The sequence below is a fragment of the Homo sapiens genome, chromosome 6 (assembly GCF_000001405.40).
Source record: "Homo sapiens chromosome 6, GRCh38.p14 Primary Assembly".
NCBI lineage: Eukaryota > Metazoa > Chordata > Mammalia > Primates > Hominidae > Homo > Homo sapiens.
In genome coordinates, this window is record NC_000006.12 from 20878962 (window position 1) to 20900802 (window position 21841).

Consider the following 21841-nt stretch of genomic DNA (forward strand, 5'->3'; position numbering starts at 1 on the left):
CCAGCTACTCGGGAGGCTGAGGCAGGAGAATCACTTGAACCTGAGAGGCAGAGGTTGCAGTGAGCCGAGATCGCACCATTGCACTCCAGCCTGGGTGACAGAGCAAGATTCTATCTCATTAAAAAAAAAAGAAAAAAATAATAAATAAATAAAAGAAGTATTCCCCATTGGTGATTGTACCAAAAGGATATAGAAATACCTGCCTAGTCCCTAGGACTGATGTACAGGTGGACTCTTTGCATTTCTGTAGAGAACCCACAAAACCTCTAGTACCAGTGACAAAGTCAGGCTGCCCCAAAGGGGCAAAGCCACTTTGGTAGAGTGAGGAAGAGGCAGTAAGAGTCTCTAGTTAGTTTTGAAGTCTTGGTCTTCCCTGGTCAGGAGGAGTAGAGTACACCTGCTGGTTTCAGCACTGCTCTCAGATGGTTAAAAAACCACTCTCAATATATAATATCTCCCGCCTGTTATGTAATAGTCACTTCAACAGTTTTTATGTTGTTTAACTTTTCAATACAACCTTTTTGGATTATCATTATTTCCACTTTTATAGATGAAGAACTAGAGATTCAAAGATTCATTCAGGAAGCAAATATGTGTTGTATCCTGGGGTCAGGCTGACTGTTGTCTCTGCCTGCTAGTCTGGAATTTAAACCTTGTTCTCCTTTGTCACTTGATATTGGCAATTTCTTTCCTGTCCTTGCTGGATTTCCTGCATTTCTCACTTGTGCTCTCCTCTGACTTTTCTGACCTCTTTGGTTCTAAAAATTATCCCTGATTCCCACACTTCTGGTTCCTATTCTGTGTGGTGACCCCTGCTGTTTGCTGCCCACACCTCGGAGTGATGCTGAGTGAGGGAATCCAATCTCCCAAACAGGAAGCTTACCAAGTTTTGAAAGCAGAGCCTTTTCTTGCAGTCAATTAAAGGTTCACTCTGACTGTCCATTTTTAAACTATGGTATGAATTTTGTCTGTCATTTTCTTGCCCTTGTCTTCCTGTGAGAAGACTGTGTTTTATTTATCAAGATAGTAGTTTTAATTCTCTTAGAGGTTGGGGCTTTAATAATTGAGTGATTTAAAAACTTTTTATGAACAAATTCTGTGTCTTCCATATCACACCTAGAGAAGCAGTGAGGGACATATTTTACTCTTTAGAATTATATAAGTAATTTCCTCATGCATCAATAGAAAGAAATTAGCTACAGGCTTCGGAATGCTTAGAGTGGGAATGCGAGATAATCGTAAGTAAGCTCTACATAGCTGGTATTACTTTTTTTATTCCATCAAAGAAACTACATTTTTTTTTGCTTTTTTTCGAGATGGAATCTCTCTCTGTTTCCAGGCTGGAGTGCAGTGGCACAATCTTGGCTCACTGAAACCTCCACCTCCTGGGTTCAAGCTATTCCCCAGCCTCAGCTTCCTGAGTAGCTGGGACTACAGGCACGCACCACCATGCCCAGCTAATTTTTGTATTTTTTAGTAGGGACAGGGTTTCACCATGTTGGCCAGGAGTGTCTTGATCTTCTGACCTCATGATCCGCCCACCTCGGCCTCCCAAAGTGCTGAGATTACAGGCGTGAGCCACCGCGCCTGGCCAAGAAACTACATTCTTTAAGTTATTATAATATTTAAATATATAAGTAAAATGCCACCATATATCATAATACTGTTCTTTTTTGTGATTTATAAATTTCTCTATGGCCTGTATCTTATACTGTATACATAAAGCCTCCTGAATTCATATATAATGTGGGTCTGAGAACATATTTGACAGTTGATTATCTAAAAGTCAGATAATTGACATGTTATAAAGGGGTGGGGAGGGTTGCTAAATAAGTTTCCATTAGGCTAAGAAAAGATTATAAAATTTCTTATTATTGGTTCATGCACAGTTAAGCAACTCAGCAAGTGAAAGAAAATTTACAGATGGCTTGAATGTGTTGGGTTTTTGCTTTGTTTTTGGCAAGGGACCATCGGCTCTGAAGATTAGGGAAGTCATCCAGGCATCTTCCTTTCCCACAAACCCACCAACTCTGTTACCTGGAGCTTAATACATATGTGATCTAATACAGTATCCTTCCATGTGATTAAGCTTTTCTCCCATTACTATTCATTAAACAGACTATTGACATCTCTAAGTGTGATCCCCAAACCAACAGCATTGGCATCTTGGTTCTCAAACATTAAGGAACAGCACAGTCGCTTGGCTGGCTTATTAAAAACAAAGATTGCTGGACCCCATCCTCAGAGTCTGCGATTCAGTAGGTCTGGAGTAGAGCTTGAGAATTTGCATTTCTGTCAGGTTCCAAGATAATATGATGTTGCTGGTCTGGGACTACACTCCAAGAAACACTGAAAACAGACTTTGCTTTCACCTTTGATTTATGAATCCCTCTTTGCCATATATAATCATAGCATATATTTTGTATATGTGATATATAAATTGATAAACTTTCATTTTTCATTCTGAATTCTGTATGCTTGTTATTGAGAACTGATTGTCATCTCACTCTTCTGTGAATGGACTCTTTCTGTTTTCTAACTTGATCTCTTTTACATGGGCAAGCTATTGACTTGGCTATATTTAACTAGGCATTTGATTGACCTTTCCTATTAATTATTAATCTTGTAGCTTTTTAGTTGATTCTTTGGGCTTTCTAGGTAAGCAACCATATTATTTCTATTTTTCCTCTTTGAGCGATTCCTAAAATGGCTGTCTGTGAAATGTCTTTCATATTTGTTAACATGTTGCTTTTCTTTCTCTTCCTTTTTTTATTATGGTTGTGCATCTCATGTCTATACTCTTTGTTTTTATGCAGTCTCAAATCTCCTGTTTGTATCTCCAAAGTAGTTAATAATTTTTATTCATATACTTTAAAATGCACTCTTTTTGGAAATTGTAACCACTGCTGCAATCAAGATACAGAACAGTTACACCACGTACCAAAATTTTCTCCTTTTCCCTTTCTAGTCAAACTCTCTTATCGCTGCAAGTACTGGCAACCACAAATTTCTTTTCTTTTCCTTTGGTTTTGCCCTTTCCAGATATCATATAAATGGAATCATGCGATATGTAGCCTGATGGGATTCAGAACACACCACCCCAAAATATGGCACATTGCATATTGAATATTTTAAGCTGAAGGAATTTGAGAAATGGCAGGTACAGGAAGGACTCTCTGACCTTCCTCTGAAGAAGGTCATAAGACATGTCATGTGAGAGGTGCCCTCCCTGCACCTGGAGGGGGAAGGGGCATTCCTGTCTCCAAAGGCGGAAGAACGCTGAGGATTCCAAATGAACTCCACAGGCCTTGCTAAGTTTCCCCTGGTTTGCTAACTCCCTTTTAGCTCATACGCTTTGTCCTGTCACATTTTTTCACAACCTCCCACTCTTTATCAAACCTAGCATAAAAACACCCAGGTTAACTGTTTCCTTCCATCTGCGTTTCCATATGAAGACTCCCATATCATATAACACTTCTATTAAACAGATGTGTTTACTTTTCTCTTTTAAATCTTTTGTTAGTCTAATTTACAGGGCCCAGCCAGAGAACCTGGGAGGGTAAGCGAAAAGAATATTTTTTTCTTCCCCTACAAGCTCTTTTAGTCTGGCTTCTTTCATTTAGCAATATTTTTGGTTTCATCCATATTGTTTCATGTTCATTCCTTTTTATTGCTGTGTGCTATTCCATTGTATGAATGTACCACAGTGTTTTTAATCTGTTAATCACTTGAAGCATCCTAGGTTGCTTGCAGTTTGGGGCAATTATGAATAAAGCCACTATAAACATTCACATACGGATTCTTATGAGAACATGTCCAGTGTCATTTCTGATTTTCCTACTAGGTTTTTCATTTTCATGTAGTCTTTACTTATTGTGATATGTTCTTTTCTCATAATGGCTTCCTCTGATTCCTAGAGTCAGTGTCCTTTTGTGTGTTGTTAAGAACAAGGTTCAAAACTGAAAAATTCTTTTATTTTTTGATTTACATTTCATACTGACAAGAATTAGTCTTTCTTCAGCACTTTGGTTTTTTTTTCTCTTTTGCTCCTGAAACTTTTGTATGCTCTGAGATAATTTTTCTTTGCTCATCCGTAAGAGAGAAACCTACAGGCACTTTTGAGGTATAGATAAAATTAGGTACTTTAAGTACTGCTATGAGTTCTGACAGATTGGTACAGGGGCCCACCTATAATTCTTCCAAGTGGACCTTCCCAGATCTGTATCAAAGGAAGTAACAAAACTCAACTTTCAGTAGGTGGCTGGATAGGAAATGGAGCAGTGGGGAATTCAAGCTCCATGCTGGTCACCTTCTCTCATACGTTGTCTTCCCAGTTGTTGCATTTTAGTTGACAAGTGTAACTAGTTCCAGGCAGATGCCCCTTCCCCACATATGGTAGGCAAAACCTAAAAATGGTTCCCAATATTCTTACCCTCTGCTGCACCTACCTTGTGTTGTTCCCTCCCCCTGAATGTGGGTGGAACCTGTGGATATAATGGGCTGTTCCTCCAGTATTGTATAGCCACTCATGGCTGTTGAACATTTAAATATGTCTAGAATGACTGCGCAACCGAATGTTTCATTTATTTAATTAATTTAAAACTAAATAGCCGCATGTGGCTAGTGGCAGCTGTAGTTAATAATGTGCTTGGTGAAGTATTTGGGGTGAAGTGTCTTGATATATGCATCTTTCTTTGAAATGCATAAGAAAGTACAATGGATAGTTGTATGGTAAAGCAAATAAAGTACAATATTATCATAGAATCTAGGTGGTAGGTATATGGAGTTCACTGTAAAATTATTTCAACTTTTTCTGTATATTTAAAATGTTTTACAATAACATGACAGGAGGAAACCTTTTGATGGACTTTAGTGAAAAAAGTAATTGCACCCAGTAAAGAAAAATCTAGGACCAGATGGCATCACTGGTGAATTCTAGCAAACATTTAAAGAATTAACACCAGTCCCTCTGAAATTCATCTAAAAAATAGAAGAGGAGAGAACACTTTCTAACTCATTCTCTGAGGTCAGCATACCAAAGCTAGATAAAGATATCAGAAGAAAAGAAAATTATAGACTGATAGCCCTTATGAATATAGATGCAAAAATATTAACAAATCAAATTCAACAGCATATTAAAAGGATTTTACACCCATCATCAAGTGGGATTTATCCAAGGAATACAAAGATGCTTCCACATAACAAAAATCAATCAATATAATATAGCACATTAATGTAACAAAAGCAAAAACAGAGTGATCTCAATGAATGAAGAAAAGGTATTTGCCAAAATCCAACACTTCATCTCAGGAATGATGAGGTTGATGGAAAAAACAAACAAACAAACAAACAAAAACACTAAAAAAACCCTATAAGTAGAAGAGAACATTCTCAACATGTTAAAGGACATTTCTGAAAAACTCACGATTAGCATCATGCTCATTGGTGAAAGACTAAATAAAAGCTTTCCCCCTAAGATCAGGAGCAAGACAAGGTGCCTGCTTTCTCCATTGCTATTCAACGTTGTACTCGAATTCCCAATCAGAGCAGTGAAACAGGAAAAAGAACTAAAATGCATTCAAATTGGAAAAGAAGTAAAACAGTCTCTCTTCACAGATAATATGATCCTAAATATAGAAGATCCCAAAGAATCTACAAGAAAACTACTAGAACTATGAAATGAATGTAGCAAAGCTGTAGGTTATAAGATCACCATGCAAAAATCAGTTGTGTTTCTCTTCATCAGCAATGAACAATCATAATCAATCTGAAAAGGAAATTAAGAAAGTGATTCCGTTTACAATAGCATCTGAAAGAATAAAATACCTAGGAATAAATTTAACCAAGGAGGTGAAAAATTTGTACACTAAAAAATATGAAACAAGTTGTGTGCTGTAGCACATGCATGTAGTCCCAGCTACTCAGGAGGCTGAAGCAGGAGAATCACTTGAGCCTGAAAGTTTGAGACCACCCTGAGCAACATAGCAAGGCCCCATCTCTTAAAAAAGAAAAAAAAAAGTGATAAATTATGAAACACTACTGAAAGAAATGAAAGAAGACCTAAATAAAAGTAAAGACATTCATGTTCAGGGATAGGAATACTTAATATTGTTAAGATGTCAGTACTACCCAAAGTAATCTACAGATTCGGCACAATCCCTAGCAAAATTCCAACAGCACTCCCCTTTTTTTTGCAGTTCTAGAAAAGCTATTCCTCAAATTCACGTACAGTTGCAAGGGCCCTGAGTAACCAAAGCAGTCTTTAAATGGGACAAAATTAGAGGACTCACACTCCCCAATTTCAGAACCTACTACAGAGTTATGGTAATCAAACCACCATGGTACTTGCATAGGAATAGACATATAGATCAATGGAATGGGACTGAATCCAGAAGTAAACCCATACAACTGTAGCCAATTGATTTTTGACCAGGGAACCACATTTATTCAGTGGGGAAAGATAGTTCACCAAATGGTGCTAGATTTCTGCATACAAAAGAACAAAGTTAGACCCCTACCTTACACCATGTACAAAAATCAACTCAAAATTGAAAAACAACTTAAATATAAGAGTTAAAATACCAAGACTCTTAGAAGAAAACACAGGGGTAAATCTTTATGACCTTGGATTTAACAGTGGATTCTTAGATGTGTCACCAAAAGCACAAGCAACAAAAGAAAAAATAGATAAATTTGACTTCATCAGACTTTAAACTGTCATGTATCAAAGGATATTATCAAGAAACTGAAAAGACAATCTACAGACTGGGAGACGATATTTACAAATTATAAATTTGATACAGGTTTAATTTCTAGAATACGTAAAGAACTAAAACTCAGCCTGATGCAATGACTCACACCTGTAATCCTAGCACTTTGGGAGGCCGAGGTGCATCAGATCACTTGAGGTCAGAAGTTGGAGACCAGCTTGGCCAATATGGTGAAACCCCATCTCTATTAAAAATAAAAAAACAAAAATTACCCAGAAATCGCTTGAACCAGGAGGGAGAGGTTGCAGTGAGCCAAGATCATGCCACGACACTCCAGCCTGAGAAACAGAGCAAGACGCCATCCCCGTCCCCCACAAAAAAGAACTACGACTCAACAAGCAGACAACCCAGTTAGAAAATGGACAAAAGATTTGAATAGATATTTTTCAAAAGAAGATAAGCACATGAAAAGATGCTGAAAACATTCTTAGTCTTTAGTGTGATGCAAATCAAAACCCTTCAGACTTGCTAGGATGGCTTTAATTAAAAACAAAATAGAAACTAAGTGTTGGTGAGGATGTGGAGAAATTGGTCCTCATACATTGCTGTGAATAGTAGCAATGTAAAATGGTGCAGCTACTGTGGAAAACAATGTGACTGTTTCTTAAAAAGTTGAACATAGAATTAATATATGACCCAGCAATTTCTCTCCTAGGTATATGCTCCAAAGAATTAAAAACAGGGACTCAACCTGATACACATACACAAATGTTCATTGCAGCGATATTTGCAATAGCCCAAAGGTGGAAACAACCCAAATGACCATTAACACATGAATGGATAAACAAAATATTGGATGTATGCAAAATTTAATATTATTCAATCATAAAATGGAATGATGTTCGGATATATGCTACAGCATGATGAACCCTGAAAGCATTATGCTAAATGAAATAAGCCAGACACAAAAGGACAAATATTGTATGATCCCATTTATGTGAAATATCTAGGGTGGGCAAATTCATGGAGACAAGAAGTAGATTAGAGGTTACCAGGGAAAGGGTGAAGGGAGGAATGGGGAGTTATTGCTTAATGGATACAGAGTTTCTGTTTCAGGTGATGAAAAAGCTTTGGAAATGGTGGTGATAGTTACACAACATTGTGAATGTAATAAATGTCCCAGAAATGTAAAACAAAATTAAAGAGCTCTGTTAAAATGAATATTCAAGACATGGACTGGGAGAAAATATTCACATTTATTTGGTAAAGGGTTGATATCCAGCATATAAATATTTTTTACAGCTCAATAATGAAGACAAACAACTGAATTTTAAACTGGACAAAAGATTTGAACAGATACTTCAAAAAAGAAGATATGAATGACCAAAATGTACATTAAAAGTGTTCAACAACATGAGTCACAAGGGAAATGCAAATGTGAATTACAATAAGATACTCCTATACATGAAGTACAACCACCAGAATTTAAAAGATTAACAGCACTAAATGTTGGCAAGGTTGTTGAACAACTGGAATTCTCATACATTGTTGCTGGGAATGGGGGTTTCCACCCACTTTGGAAAAATGTCTGGCAGTTTCTTATTGAAGTCAACATGCACTTATCCTGTAATCCAGCAATTCTACTCATTTACTAAGAGAAATTTGTCAAAATTAGTCACAAAAAAGCTTGTATAAGCATGTTTATAGCTATTTTAGTCGTAACCACCAAAAATTAGAAACAGCCCATGTGTTTATCTGTAGAAGAATGGACAAAATGGAATTTATCCACAAAATGAACTATTATTTAGTGACTAAAAGGAACGAACTACCAATTTAAGCAATAACAGGAATTTAACAATATTATGCTGAGTAAAAGAAGCATTACACAAAAAAAGTGCAAGATATGATTTCATTCACAAGAATCTCTGGAAATAATCTGTGGTAGAAAAAAAACTGAATACTTGTAGGCACGAGGGTAGGGAGAGATTGTCTGATGAGGTGCATAGGATTACTTTCTAGAGGAAAGTATTTTATATCTTTAGAGTAGTTTGGGCTACACAGTAGATGATTGTCAGAACTCACTCGCTTAAGATCTTTCCTTTTTTTCTTTTTTTGTAGTTGTTGTTTTAAGAGACAGGGTCTGTTTCTGTCACACAGGCCAGAGTAGAGTGGTATGATCATAGCTCACTGCAGCCTTGAACTCCTGAGCTCAAGTGATCCTCCTGCCTCAGCCTCCCAAATAGCCGTGGACCACCATGCCTGGCTAATCTTTAAAAAAAAAATTTTTTTTGGTGGAACATAATTTCTTTTTTTTTAAATTATACTTTAAGTTCTAGGGTACATGTGCACAATGTGCAGGTTTGTTACTCATGTATACGTGTGCCATGTTGGTTTGCTGCACCCGTTAACTTGTCATTTACGTTAGGTATTTCTCCTAATGCTGTCCCTCCCGCATTCCCGCACCCCATGACAGGCCCTGGTGTGTGATGTTCCCAGCCCTGTGTCCAGGTGTTCTCATTGTTCAATTCCCACCTATGAGTGAGAATATGCAGTGTTTGGTTTTCTATCCTTGCGATAGTTTGCTCAGAATGATGGTTTCCAGCTTCATCCATGTCCCTACAAGGGACATGAACTCATCCTTTTTTATGGCTGCATAGTATTCCATGGTGTATATGTGCCACATCTTCTTTTTTTTTTTTAATTTTATTATTATTATACTTTAAGTTTTAGGGTACATGTGCACAATGTGCAGGTTTGTTACATATGTATACATGTGCCATGTTGGTGTACTGAACCCATTAACTCGTCATTTAGCATTAGGTATATCTCCTAATGCTATCCCTCCCCCCTCCCCCCACCCCACAACAGTCCCCGGTGTGTGTTGTTCCCCTTCCTGTGTCCATGTGTTCTCATTGTTCAATTCCCGCCTATGAGTGAGAACATGAGGTGTTTGGTTTTTTGTCCTTGTGATAGTTTGCTGAGAATGATGATTTCCAGTTTCATCCATGTCCCTACAAAGGACATGAACTCATCATTTTTTATGGCTGCGTAGAATTCCATGGTGTATATGTGCCACCTTTTCTTAATCCAGTCTGTCGTTGTTGGACGTTTGGGTTGGTTCCAAGTCTTTGCTACTGTGAATAGTGCCGCAGTAAACATACGTGTGCATGAGTCTTTATAGCAGTATGATTTATAGTCCTTTGGGTATATACCCAGTAATGGGATGGCTGGGTCAAATGGTATTTCTAGTTCTAGATCCCTGAGGAATCGTCACACTGACTTGCACAATGGTTGAACTAGTTTACAGTCCCACCAACAGTGTCAAAGTGTTCCTATTTCTCCACATCCTCTCCAGCACCTGTTGTTTCCTGACTTTTTAATGATCGCCATTCTAACTGGTGTGAGATGGTATCTCATTGTGGTTTTGGTTTGCATTTCTCTGATGGCCAGTGATGATGAGCATTTTTTCATGTGTTTTTTGGCTGCATAAATGTCTTCTTTTGAGAAGTGTCTGTTCATATCCTTTGCCCACTTTTTGATGGGGTTGTTTGTTTTTTTCTTGTAAATTTGTTTGAGTTCATTGTAGATTCTGGATATTAGCCCTTTGTCAGATGAGTAGGTTGCGAAAATTTTCTCCCATGTTGTAGGTTGCCTATTCACTCTGATGGTAGTTTCTTCTGCTGTGCAGAAGCTCTTTAGTTTAATTAGGTCCCATTTGTCAATTTTGGCTTTTGTTGCCATTGCTTTTGGTGTTTTAGACATGAAGTCCTTGCCCATGCCTATGTCCTGAATGGTATTGCCTAGGTTTTCTTCTAGGGTTTTTATGGTTTTAGGTCTAACATGTAAGTCTTTAATCCATCTTGAATTAATTTTTGTATAAGGTGTAAGGAAGGGATCCAGTTTCAGCTTTCTACATATGGCCAGCACCATTTATTTAATAGGGAATCCTTTCCCCATTTCTTATTTTTGTCAGGTTTGTCAAAGAACAGATGGTTGTAGATGTGTGGTGTTATTTCTGAGTGCTCTGTTCTGTTCCATTGGTCTATATCTCTGTTTTGGTACCAGTAACATGTTGTTTTGGTTACTGTAGCCTTGTAGTATAGTTTGAAGTCAGGTAGTGTGATGCCTCCAGCTTTGTTCTTTTTTGCTTAGGATTGTCTTGGCAATGCGGGCTCTTTTTCAGTTCCATATGAACTTTAAAGTAGTTTTTTCCAATTCTGTGAAGAAAGTCATTGGCAGCTTGATGGGTAAAAAAAATTTTTTTTAGAGATGAGGTCTTGCTGTGTTGACCAGGCTGGTCTCACACCCCTGGGCTCTAGTGATCCTCCTGCCTCGGCCCCCCAAAGTGCTGAGATCACATGCATGAGCTACCGTGCCCGGGCTACATTTCCATTTATGTAGATTTTCCATCAAATAAAAACTTCTAGTTAATGATATGAAAGAAAAAAATAATCCTGAGCTTCGAAGATGATAGTCACACAGTGACAAAACACCTGTATGTTTATGGGACTGTTAGCACTCGCCTTGGGCAGTTACTGCCTGATGTTTTACAATGTACACACCATGTGTGTTAATAACTAGTGCTGTAAGCTACATCTTGATGTTTCTTATTGCTTAATTATCAAGTTGTAGACTCTAAGCAAGATGCATAAGAAGTGGTGCTTATGGAGTTTTCCTTCTCAAGAACTTCCTCTCTAGTGATAAAATCATCAGCACCCGGATTGGAACACTGTACACATTCATGAGGAGAAAAGTGCTCAGCAATAGATGTGGAAAAATCAGTGAGCAATAAATAATTCCATGTATTTTCAGAAAAGAAAAAACGTTTATAAAATCACATTTTTCTACTGATGGCTATTGTAATTTTATACAATCTGATGGAAAATAAATGTAGTGGTTATCAGAACCTTCTGGTGACATTCCAGGTTTTCTCTCTTGAGCTCTCTACTGTTTCTTTGACGTTCGTGGAGTGTTGGCTTAAAATTTGTTTTCTACACTCTTACCCTGGGGAGATTCTGCGTCAGCGGGTCTAAGATGCTGTCATACCATTAGTCTTTTTAATTAGTGCATCAGGCGATTTGCATCAAATTGTTTGGGAAATATTGCATTTAGATTATAAGTAAAGGCATCAGACAAGAAGTAATTCTTACTGGTGACCAATAATAGCTTAAAATTCAATATAATAATAAAAACAATAGTAACGTAAGATAATACTATTGAATATTTATGAAGCAATTACCATATTTTAGTTCCTCATCTAAATGCTTTTTTTCCATTAACTTGTTTAATCCTCACAAAAGATGGAGGTGCTGCAATTATCTCCTTTCACAGATGAGAAAACAGGTGAAAGGATAAATAATTTGCACCTCCCCTTTCCCCCGCTACCCTAGGCACAAAAGTAGTAGATGACAGAGTCAGGCTTTAAACTCTGACATTCTGGCCTCAGAGCTCTTGGCTTAACCAGTGATTTACATGGCTACCGCATGAGTTACAGGCACTATGGTGTGTTCATTTTGAGGGTTGGAAGGAGTTTTTCTACAAGGCAGTAATGAGGTGTAATCATGGCCCAGTGTCTCAGTCCTTCCTCTTCTTATCTCCTCACCACTCTCTAGCACTAGTGGTCTTGAACTGAGTAAGAGTTGGAAGGCTCTGGCTTGAGCTCTGACGTGATCATTTGTTAGCGGCAGGAAGGTGGGCATGCTGCAGCCTGTCCTTACTGTGAGTTAATAACACTCCCCCTGGAGTGCAGATCATGGGAGGTGAAAGTACCCAACAGACGCCGGGTGGCCTGTCAGTCATCCTTCGCTTCTTATTCCATCTCACTCTTTGTCACTCATCCTGCTTATTTCTTTTCTTTTTTCTGTATTTTTTTTTTTTTTTTTGAGACGGAGTCTCACTCTGTCACCAGGCTGGAGTGTAGTGGCGCAGTCTCGGCTTGCTGCAACCTCCGCCTCCCGGGTTCAAGCGATTCTCCTGCCTCAGCCTCCCGAGTATCTGGGACTACAGGCATGCGCCACCATGCCCGGCTAATTTTTGTATTTTTCATAGAGACAGGGTTTCACCATGTTGGCCATGGTGGTCTTGATCTCTTGACCTCGTGATCCACCCGCCTTGGCCTCCCAAAATGCTGGGATTACAGGCGTGAGCCACGGCGCCTGGCCCATCCTGCTTATTTCTTACATGCATAAGGGACTCTTCTGCTTTTCTCATGGTCATCTGTTTTTCTTTTTTAATTTTAGTCTTATCTACGGAGTTGTTTTTTTCTCAACTCTACTTTCAATTACTGCAGCATCCTTAGAGTTGCTGTTTTTTCATGTCTTGCCTCTTCTGCACTTGTGCAACTTGTTCTTGTTGCATATATATCTGTATTAAAAATAAGTGTTTGCACCGTCTCCCCTGACAGAGAAATCTTACCAAAAAGTTGAACTTAAATTTGGTTAAGGTAATGAAGAAGACATGGGGACATTCCCATTCTTAAAGGATGCAGTCAGCAAAATCCAGACTGTGAAACTCTTTACTGGACCAAAGACACAGTTCTTCAACTAAGAAAGAGGTGTGGAGCAGTAGGGAGGGAGAGGGAGAGAGACTGAAGTGGGGACTCCTTCACAGATGAAAAGAGACTTAAAAGAGAATTGAAATATGTGGACTGTATATGGATCCTTATTCAAACAAACTATTTAAAACTTGACAATTATAAGACAAGTACAATATTGAGTGCTGATACAATGTAAAAATTATTTTAAAACTTTTTAAGGTATGGTAATAATGAAATATTTATAGGTGAAATGACGTATCTGAGATTTTGCCTCAAAATCCTTGGTGAGAGCATGTGGCTAGGTGACCCAGGGGTGATACTAGTTGAAGCTGACTAATAAAAGCATGAGGATGAATTATACCGTATTGTATATTTATATATTTATATATATGTTTGAGGTTTCCTGTCATAAAAATTACACAAAACATGTACTCATAACCTTTCTCCATCTACAGAATCATCCAGATTTAACAAAGCAGTTCTCACTTTAAAATTGATTCTAAGGAGTTTTTATTTACCTCATATTAACTATCCACTTCCAGCTTGGCCTGGAAAGATTTTGTTGCAGTATTTTCTGACAGCATTTTCCTAGATAAGCCAACCTTTTTGGAAGCAGTTGCCTTAAGCATCTGTCAATAGAATCTGATCAGATTGGTTAAATTGAATGAATTAAACTGAGGCAAAGTCAAGTGGATGAAAACCTCCTGGTCTTTCACTAAACATCTGCTCCTAGTGACAGGTTCACAAAGGTCACTTTTACTGATTTACCTGAGTTGAATTTGAGGGAGCAGGTGCAGAGACATTGGCTTCTTTTGTCCTGCACCTGCCTTACCTCAGGTAAGTAGAAACAGCTGTTGAAAGCAGAATAGCATTACCCTGTAGGTGGGTCTGGAATGATCCCAAAAACGCATCTCTCTGTGCCGCCTTATTTTTAATAGCTGGTATTTTTGACTTGGCATCACAAAAGAAGCGCATTAGAACATCTTAATAATGTACTAATTCTTTGGGGTTTTGACTGGAGTCAGTTAGATAATCATGATTCATTCAAGTTGCTGCACTGAATGCAGGTTACAGCCTAGTGCCATGAGGTGTTCGCTGGCCTTTTGCTTGCCTCAAAGCAAAAGAACAATAGCACTCAACATGCTTGGTCCCCCACTGTATAACTGAATGGTTCAATTTATATCTCATGCCTGTAGCAACTGCTTTTCAATAATCACAATAAAGAGTAAGGGATATATGTGTAGAGATATATGGCTGGATTATTCAGGTGGGGAGGGCCTGACTATGGGGGAAGGATAATGTGAATTTCAAAGTGTAAATATGTCATTGCATAATTTTTTGTTCTGGGCATAGTTACATTTATTTATATTGTTTCTAAGGCTTTCTATCTGATAGTATGTAGAATATGCAGTGGTTACATACTTCTGTAGTCAAATGAAGCAACTATTCTACTATTTGCTAAATCTGTGTGCCTTGAGATAATAAATTTAGCATCTCCATCCTCAATTGCCTATTCTGCAAAATGAGGATAATAACAGAACTAACTTCATAGAGTTGTGATAAGGATAAAAATGAAGAAATGTATGCAGAGAGCTAAGCACAGTCTTGGGCATGGAGTAAGTGCACAAGAACTCACGATACTGATGATGATGATGATGATCATGAGTAATTGTATAGTAGTATGTGAACAAAAAGATTGAGTTGTTTCTTACTAGAGCAGGAATTAACATTATTTTATGTTAATAATGCAGTCCTTGTCGAAGCATTCAAATGGTGTGATTATAAATGGAATTATAAATACATAGAAAAGAAATATGTTTCATATTTTTGACATGTAATTGTGTGCTGAGTACATTTTAATCAAAGACAGAATGAAATTGCTGTCAAGGATATTGGTAGTTCATTAGCTTATTGACTGCACACTAAGTATCTAAAGTGTTATTTTGGTGACAGCCTGATGCATTAATTTCTAGGTCAGCATATTATTGACCTCAACTATTTAATTCTTTAAAAAATTACCTTAACTATTTTTTGGTCAGATATTGTTTTATAAAATCAGTATATATTCAATGAAAATTATTTTCTCCTTACCATACCATTCAGATGGTCTTCCTAAATTAACAGTGGTAAATTTACCAGTACTAGAACTTGGAAGAATTAACCTCTTAGCCTACACCCCACATACTTTTTTTTTTTTTTTTTTTGCTGTGTTTTAAACATATAATGGATATTTCTTTATGTGGCCTCAGGGAGAAACTTATTAATACTTCAAATTTTTTTACAGGTTTTAAGTGTAAGCTGCTCTGGTTTTATAAAAGAAGTTTGAGTGATGCTTTTCTTTATAAAGGCTACACTTCTGAATCAGAGATTTTCCATTTGGGAAGTTTGAAGAAGGTCTTTCACTTCATGTTGAGTGTTACAGGTTTAACAACTGCCCCCATTATAGAGATAATGGTTAATTTCTCCTCTAAGTTATACACTTCTAAACTTTAGTTTTTTACAAAAATAACACATAAAATACAAAATGTGGTGGCTCACACCTGCAATCCTCAGCACTTTGGGAGGCCAAGGCAGGAGGATATTTTGAGTCCATGGGTTCAAGACCAGTGTGGGCATCATAGTGAGACCCTGTGTTTTAAAATATATATACAGTAGGTAAGATAACTGATACTGGTGAATTTTCCTCAGAGAATAAACAATCTTAGTTTTGTCATGTGCTCTTCAGATTCTTTTTGTTTTTGTTTTTTTAATGAAATAATATGTTACAGATAAAGTTGAAGTTCTCTATCACCTCCTACCAGGTTCTCTTCACCTGCTGCTCTACCAGAAGTAACTGCTGCCGTGAATCTGTTGTGTATCTTTTTTCTCTATGTGTATGTTTTGTAAGTTTATAATATTAAATAATGGTTTTATACTCTCAAATATTTTGCAGCTTTGCTCTTTTCACTCACTGTTTTCTTTTATGGACCTATCCATATTTGTCCATATATCTGTTTTACTTATTTTAATAGCTCTATAGTATTCCATCATGTGAATTTACAACTTACTCACCTGGTAATGGATATTTGGGTTGTTTCCAATTACAAACAATGCAATTGTAATGAACATTTGCACTTATTTCCTTTTATACACATGTGAGAGTTACTTCAGGATTCCTTACCTATAAATGAAATTGTGGGTTAATGAATATGCTTATTTTCCACTTTGGTGGATATTACCTAAATGCACTCCTGTACTTCTCTCAGTAGTGTATGTTTCCATTTCCCCATACGCTTGCTCAGCTATTCATTTTTAGAATTCAGAATCTAAAGTGTCTATCAGAAGAATGAACTCAAATGCCTTACATCTTTGTAGGAAAGATGGACATGAATACAGATGCATTCATTCAGTATGTTCTTATCATCATCATGTTGATGATTTCCAGAGGAGATTTCAAGATTTGCAAGTAACATCTAACATCAACAGTCGTGAGAAGTCTGCCATGTCTCCATCTCTTTAGCATGGTTAAACTGCCACTGTTTATAATCATTCCTGGAAAGAAAGGGAATGGCTTCCCAAAACAACCCTTCTGCAAGCACTACCATACCCAAAAACATGTCCAGTTGCGTGATTACTATGGCAATATGCATATTTCAATAGTCACTCCTGAAAGTTTTGTCCCTCAACTTTCTTTATCCAGTGGCCCTTTTGATAAATATCTTATTTCTCTCTCTCCACTGCAGCCTCTGATATGCCACCACTTACATCTGGTCTCCAACATTATTAGGAATATGTAAAACAAACATATAAAAATAGCATTCTGAGCAATGACTGAAAGGGAACACTGACAGATAAAATTGAAGAGATTGGGATTGGAAATGGCTTCTTTTTTTCTTTTTTTTCTTTTCTTTTCTTTTCTTTTTTTTTTTTTTTTGAGATGGAGTCTTGCTCTGTTGCCAGACTGGAGTGCAGTGGCGCGATCTTGGCTCACTGCAGCCTCCGCCTCCCAGGTTCAAGCGATTCTCCTGCCTCAGCCTCCCGAGTAGCTGAGACTACAGGCTCCGCCACCACACCCAGCTAATTTTTGTATTTTTAGTAAAGACGGGGTTTCACCGTGTTGGCCAAGATGGTCTCGATCTCTTGACCTCATGATCCACCCACCTTGGCTTCCCAGAGTGCTGGGATTACAGGTGTGAGCCACCACGCCTGGCCTCTTTTTTTCTTTTGAAGTCATTTTATGCAACTTAAAAATGGGGTAGGAAGAATAGATAAGAAATCTTGACCAAAACAAATTCGTAAGTCCAACAGTTAAATACATTCATTTGATATAAAATGCATATTTCTGTAATTGCTTAAATGAGTAGTTTCTAGTGCCAAGTAAAATAAAGAATACTTATTTTAAATCAATAATGAAAACCATGGTTTGAGTTTTTTGGCTTAGAAATAAATATATATGGCCATGTTTGATTTGTAAACTCATCAAATTAATGTGGTTCATTCACTTTTCAGTTAACATTCCAGTTTAGGATTCTGTGTACCACTGTTGGAAACTGAGACTACCAGATATTACCAAGTTGGGGGTGGAAGGTAGGAGGGATCACCGAGATGAAAGCTCCCTCCCTCCCCACTCCCTACCTTTCTCAAAATAAATCTGTCTTCTCAAAGAGAGCTGTGACCTTGGAACTCTGTTATGTACAATTCAATCAGATGAAAGTGTTCTTGGGTTCGGAGGATGGTTTCAGAAATTATTTTCTACTTGGACCTGTGCCTTAGTCTACTTGGACTGCTATTACAAAATGCCTTCGAATGAGTATAAACAGCATGGATTTACTACTCACAGTTCTGGAGGCTGGGAAATCTAAGATCATGGTGCCAACAGATTCAGTATCTCATGAAGGCACGCTCTTGCCTTCAAAAATGGTCCCTTCTAGCTGTTTATTCACATGACAGAAGGGGTGAACAAGCTTTCTTGGGCTTCTTTTATAAGGACACTAGTCCCATTCCTGAGGGAATAGCTGTCATGACCTAATCACCACCCAAAAGGCCCTTTAATTAAAGTTGATTCACTTGTAGACATTTGTTCAGAAATGAGTAAGTCAAATGGGACACCACAAGAAAAGAGACTGTATTTCCTGACCCCCAGTAGGAATGAATTGGGCACGAGTGGAGGTAGAAAGATGCAGGCTCAGATGAAGAAGTGATTAGTATGCCAAGCCCCTTATAGCAGAGGCCTCCCAATCCTGCCGCAAGCCAGAGTGAGAATGAGGCCACATGTCCTGGCCTCTTTTGACCTTGGGAATCTAGTGGGCAGCCAGATGCCTCAGATAACATACATCTGTAATATAGAAAAAACAAGCATCAGGGAAGTCTTCCTAGAAATAGCTCTAATTTTGTATCTTTTTTCCACCAATCTTCAGTTATATATTCAGATAAGTCTACTTTTTTAGTAAGGGACTACAACATTATCCTAATTATATAGGAAAAAGTCTTCGTGTATGTGTAGAAAAAAGACTGAATTGAGATAAAATAAAGTGATTATTATCTCTCAGTGGTGGGATTAAATTATTTAAATTTTATATTCTATGGAATATTTACAGCAAGTGTTCATTATCTTTATTTCCTACAGTGAACATGAATTACCTTTCTTTTCCTAAGTATAAAATAATTAAAAGTACATTTATTTCATTATTAATTAGAAATACATTTTTAAAGTAATTAAAATACAATAAAAATCTATTTAAGATTGGATTATATGAATGACTCAGTCAAAGGTCTGATGAATTGATAAAGGTAAAATTTCCAATTCTTTGGAGAAAACCATGAAAATGTTGCTGCCCTTTAGGGTACAGTCTTGTTAATCAACAGATCTTTACTCATTTACTTCTAGGTGTGGAAGGATGGCCCAGCTCCTCTTGGGTGTATAATTAGTTTGTGACAGCTGCCTTCTGTAATGTGGGACTTCTTGGGCTCTTTTTACTGTTTTTACTGAATTTTGTTTCATTTGCTTCCTTTTACCTCCCTGTCTCTTGTTGGTTTGTATATGTGTGTTCCTGTTCTGCTTGTCTTTATCCCTCTAGATACTCTCCTGGTCCTTAGTTATTTAGTAAATTTCATTCTGTCTGCTCATTCACGTCCCTCACCTCCAACCATGCCTCCTATGACATTGGGAATTCTCGTTCTTGATTGTGTAGCCGTCTCCGGTTGGGATACTCTGAATGAGATGTGTAGGCATGCTAGATCATGACTGGAGCAGCTTCTCTAAATGTGACTGCCATTGCGACAGTGGCCTCCTGCTTAGGCTTTCCCTGGGTTCTTGTCAAGAATGAGCTCGTTTTTATAAGGGGTATTATAATTCTGACGTGGCCTTACTCTTGACTATTGATGGTAACTATTTTTCTTGGCATCTGAAATCAAAGAGATGGAAACCCGGTCCCTCCTTCTAAATTCTATGGATTCAGTAGGATTAGGAATGCTTACTGAGAGTACTGATAAACCAAACATTACTTATGTCTCATCATGAAAATTATTGAGTAAAATAATGTTTTGTGAAGTCAATCATATATAAACTTTTTTATTTTTACATATAAAATTCCCTATTTAAAATAATTTTATGATTAAAGCTTTTATAAAATAATTTTCACCTAATTTGTGTTGCTCAAAGGAGCTTCTGCTAAGATTCAAGGGCTCCCAGGGTTTTCCCTGTACAGAATATTAGTTCTAAGAGGTATCTTGAGGATCACCTTACTAAATACCACATTTTATTTGTATAGAAATGGAGAGTCAGGGGGCTGCGTGACTTGCTCATGTTATATGACTAACTCTAGTGAACACAGGCCAATCAAGACACAGTTTCCTAGGATCCTTTTTCTTCTAATTCTTTTTTTTTTTTTTTTTTTTTTGATGGAGTCTTGCTCTGTCGCCCAGGCTGGAGTGCAGTGGCACAATCTCTGCTCACTGCAAGCTCTGCCTTCTGGGTTCAAGTGAGTCTCCTGCCTCAGCCTCCCCAGTAGCTGGGACTACAGGTGCCCGCCACCACACCTGGATAATTTTTGTATTTTTAGTAGAGACGGGGTTTCACCATGTTGGCCAGGATGGTCTCAATCTCTTGACCTCGTGATCCACCTGCCTCGGCCTCCCAAAGTGCTGAGATTACAGGCTTGAGCCACTGCGCCCGGCCCTCTAATTCTTTAGCCACCACGCCACAGTACGTCTTGTTAATGAGGTGTTATTTTCAGGGCATAATTTGTCTTGTTCTTGCTGCAGTGGATCTTGTGAACAGAATGATGCTGCTTTTTAAAACCACTTACTGGTAAAATAATATTTACCTGGTACAATGCTAAGCAATTTCTATGTCATTAATTTTGTTTTTATTCTCTGGTTGGGTGTGGTGGCTCACGCCTGTAATCCCATAACTTTGGGAGCCCGAGGCAGGCAGATCACCGAGGTAAGGAGTTCGAGACCAGCCTGGCCAACATGGTGAAAAACCATTTCTACTGAAAAATACAAAATTAGCTGGGCATGGTGGCCCATGCCTATAATCCCAGCTACTTGGGAGACTGAGGCAGGAGAATCACTTGAACCCAGGAGGCAGAGGTTGCAGTGAGTCAAGATCATGCCACTGTACTCCAACCTGGGCGACAGAGCGAAACTCCGTCTCAAAAAAACATTTAAAAAATTTTTATTCTCATAACTCTGTGAAGTTGCTACTATTATCCTCATTTTACTGATGAGGAAACTAAGGCAAAGAGGATCTAAGCGATCTGACCAAGGTGACATAAATGTTTACTTTTATGACCATGCTGTGTCTGCTTCAAGCATTGATAAAATGCTCAATGATTAGAGATGCTAGCACCCTCTGTTCTTACTATTGTAGGGAACCATTACAATTCTGCTTCACCTTCTCAGTATTCTAGTCTTCAACTTTTTACCCGTAATAACTTTTATTGAGAGAGTTTAAAATTAAATAGCCTGTCTCCTTTCGATTTATACTATATAGAATTTGGCACATAGATGCTACCTTAGACATTGTGTGTTTGGCTCAATCCTTATTAAAAAAAAGGGGGCAAAAAACATAAAATTATTCTAAAGCTAATTTCTGAGGCCAATCTGTAAAGTGATGGAGTGAAAACCATTTTTTGATGGCTCCTACCATTTAAAAGATAGTCTTCCAACTGCTGTAGTGAAATATGTCAGTGCTAATGATTCTGCTGCTTTAGTAAGCTGTGAGAAGCACAAGGCTTCTCTCCTGATCAGTACTGTCACATGGCCGTGTTCTGATGCAGTATGCAAATAACAGCACCAGCATCGTAAGTAGATATTGCTAGTGGCACATCATATATGGGCTACTTGAGAGAAAAAGGCTGCTGTTAAACTTAATGATGAGGCTGAGTGTCATTAACTGTGTGCTTATTCAAAGAGTTTCCCCCTGAAACATCTGTTCCCCTGTCAGATATGTCACTTTTAAGCAACACCTGTGCAGTAGTCATTTCCAAGTTTCTTTTCATGCAATCACCTTGTTTTTTGCTAATGGACTTCTTGGTAAAGGAGGAAAATGCAAACTTTCTTTTTCAACATCTTACTGTAGTATCCCTGCCTAAGTAATGTGCTGTAGAAGTTA

At 37.9% G+C, this 21841-nt stretch overlaps 1 protein-coding gene across 16 annotated transcripts in view, besides 1 other annotated feature; it reads left to right on the forward strand.

The window, feature by feature from the left end:
* CDKAL1 (CDKAL1 threonylcarbamoyladenosine tRNA methylthiotransferase) overlaps positions 1–21841 on the forward strand; it is a 697948-nt gene that overhangs the window by 344505 nt on the left and 331602 nt on the right. The window lies entirely within an intron of this gene.
* Positions 3117–3411: an enhancer, noted in NCBI's record as "tiled region #659; HepG2 Activating non-DNase unmatched - State 23:Low". NCBI's record gives its function as "activates a minimal TATA promoter and a strong SV40 promoter by Sharpr-MPRA in HepG2 cells {active_cell/tissue: HepG2}" and the evidence as "EXISTENCE:reporter gene assay evidence [ECO:0000049][PMID:27701403]".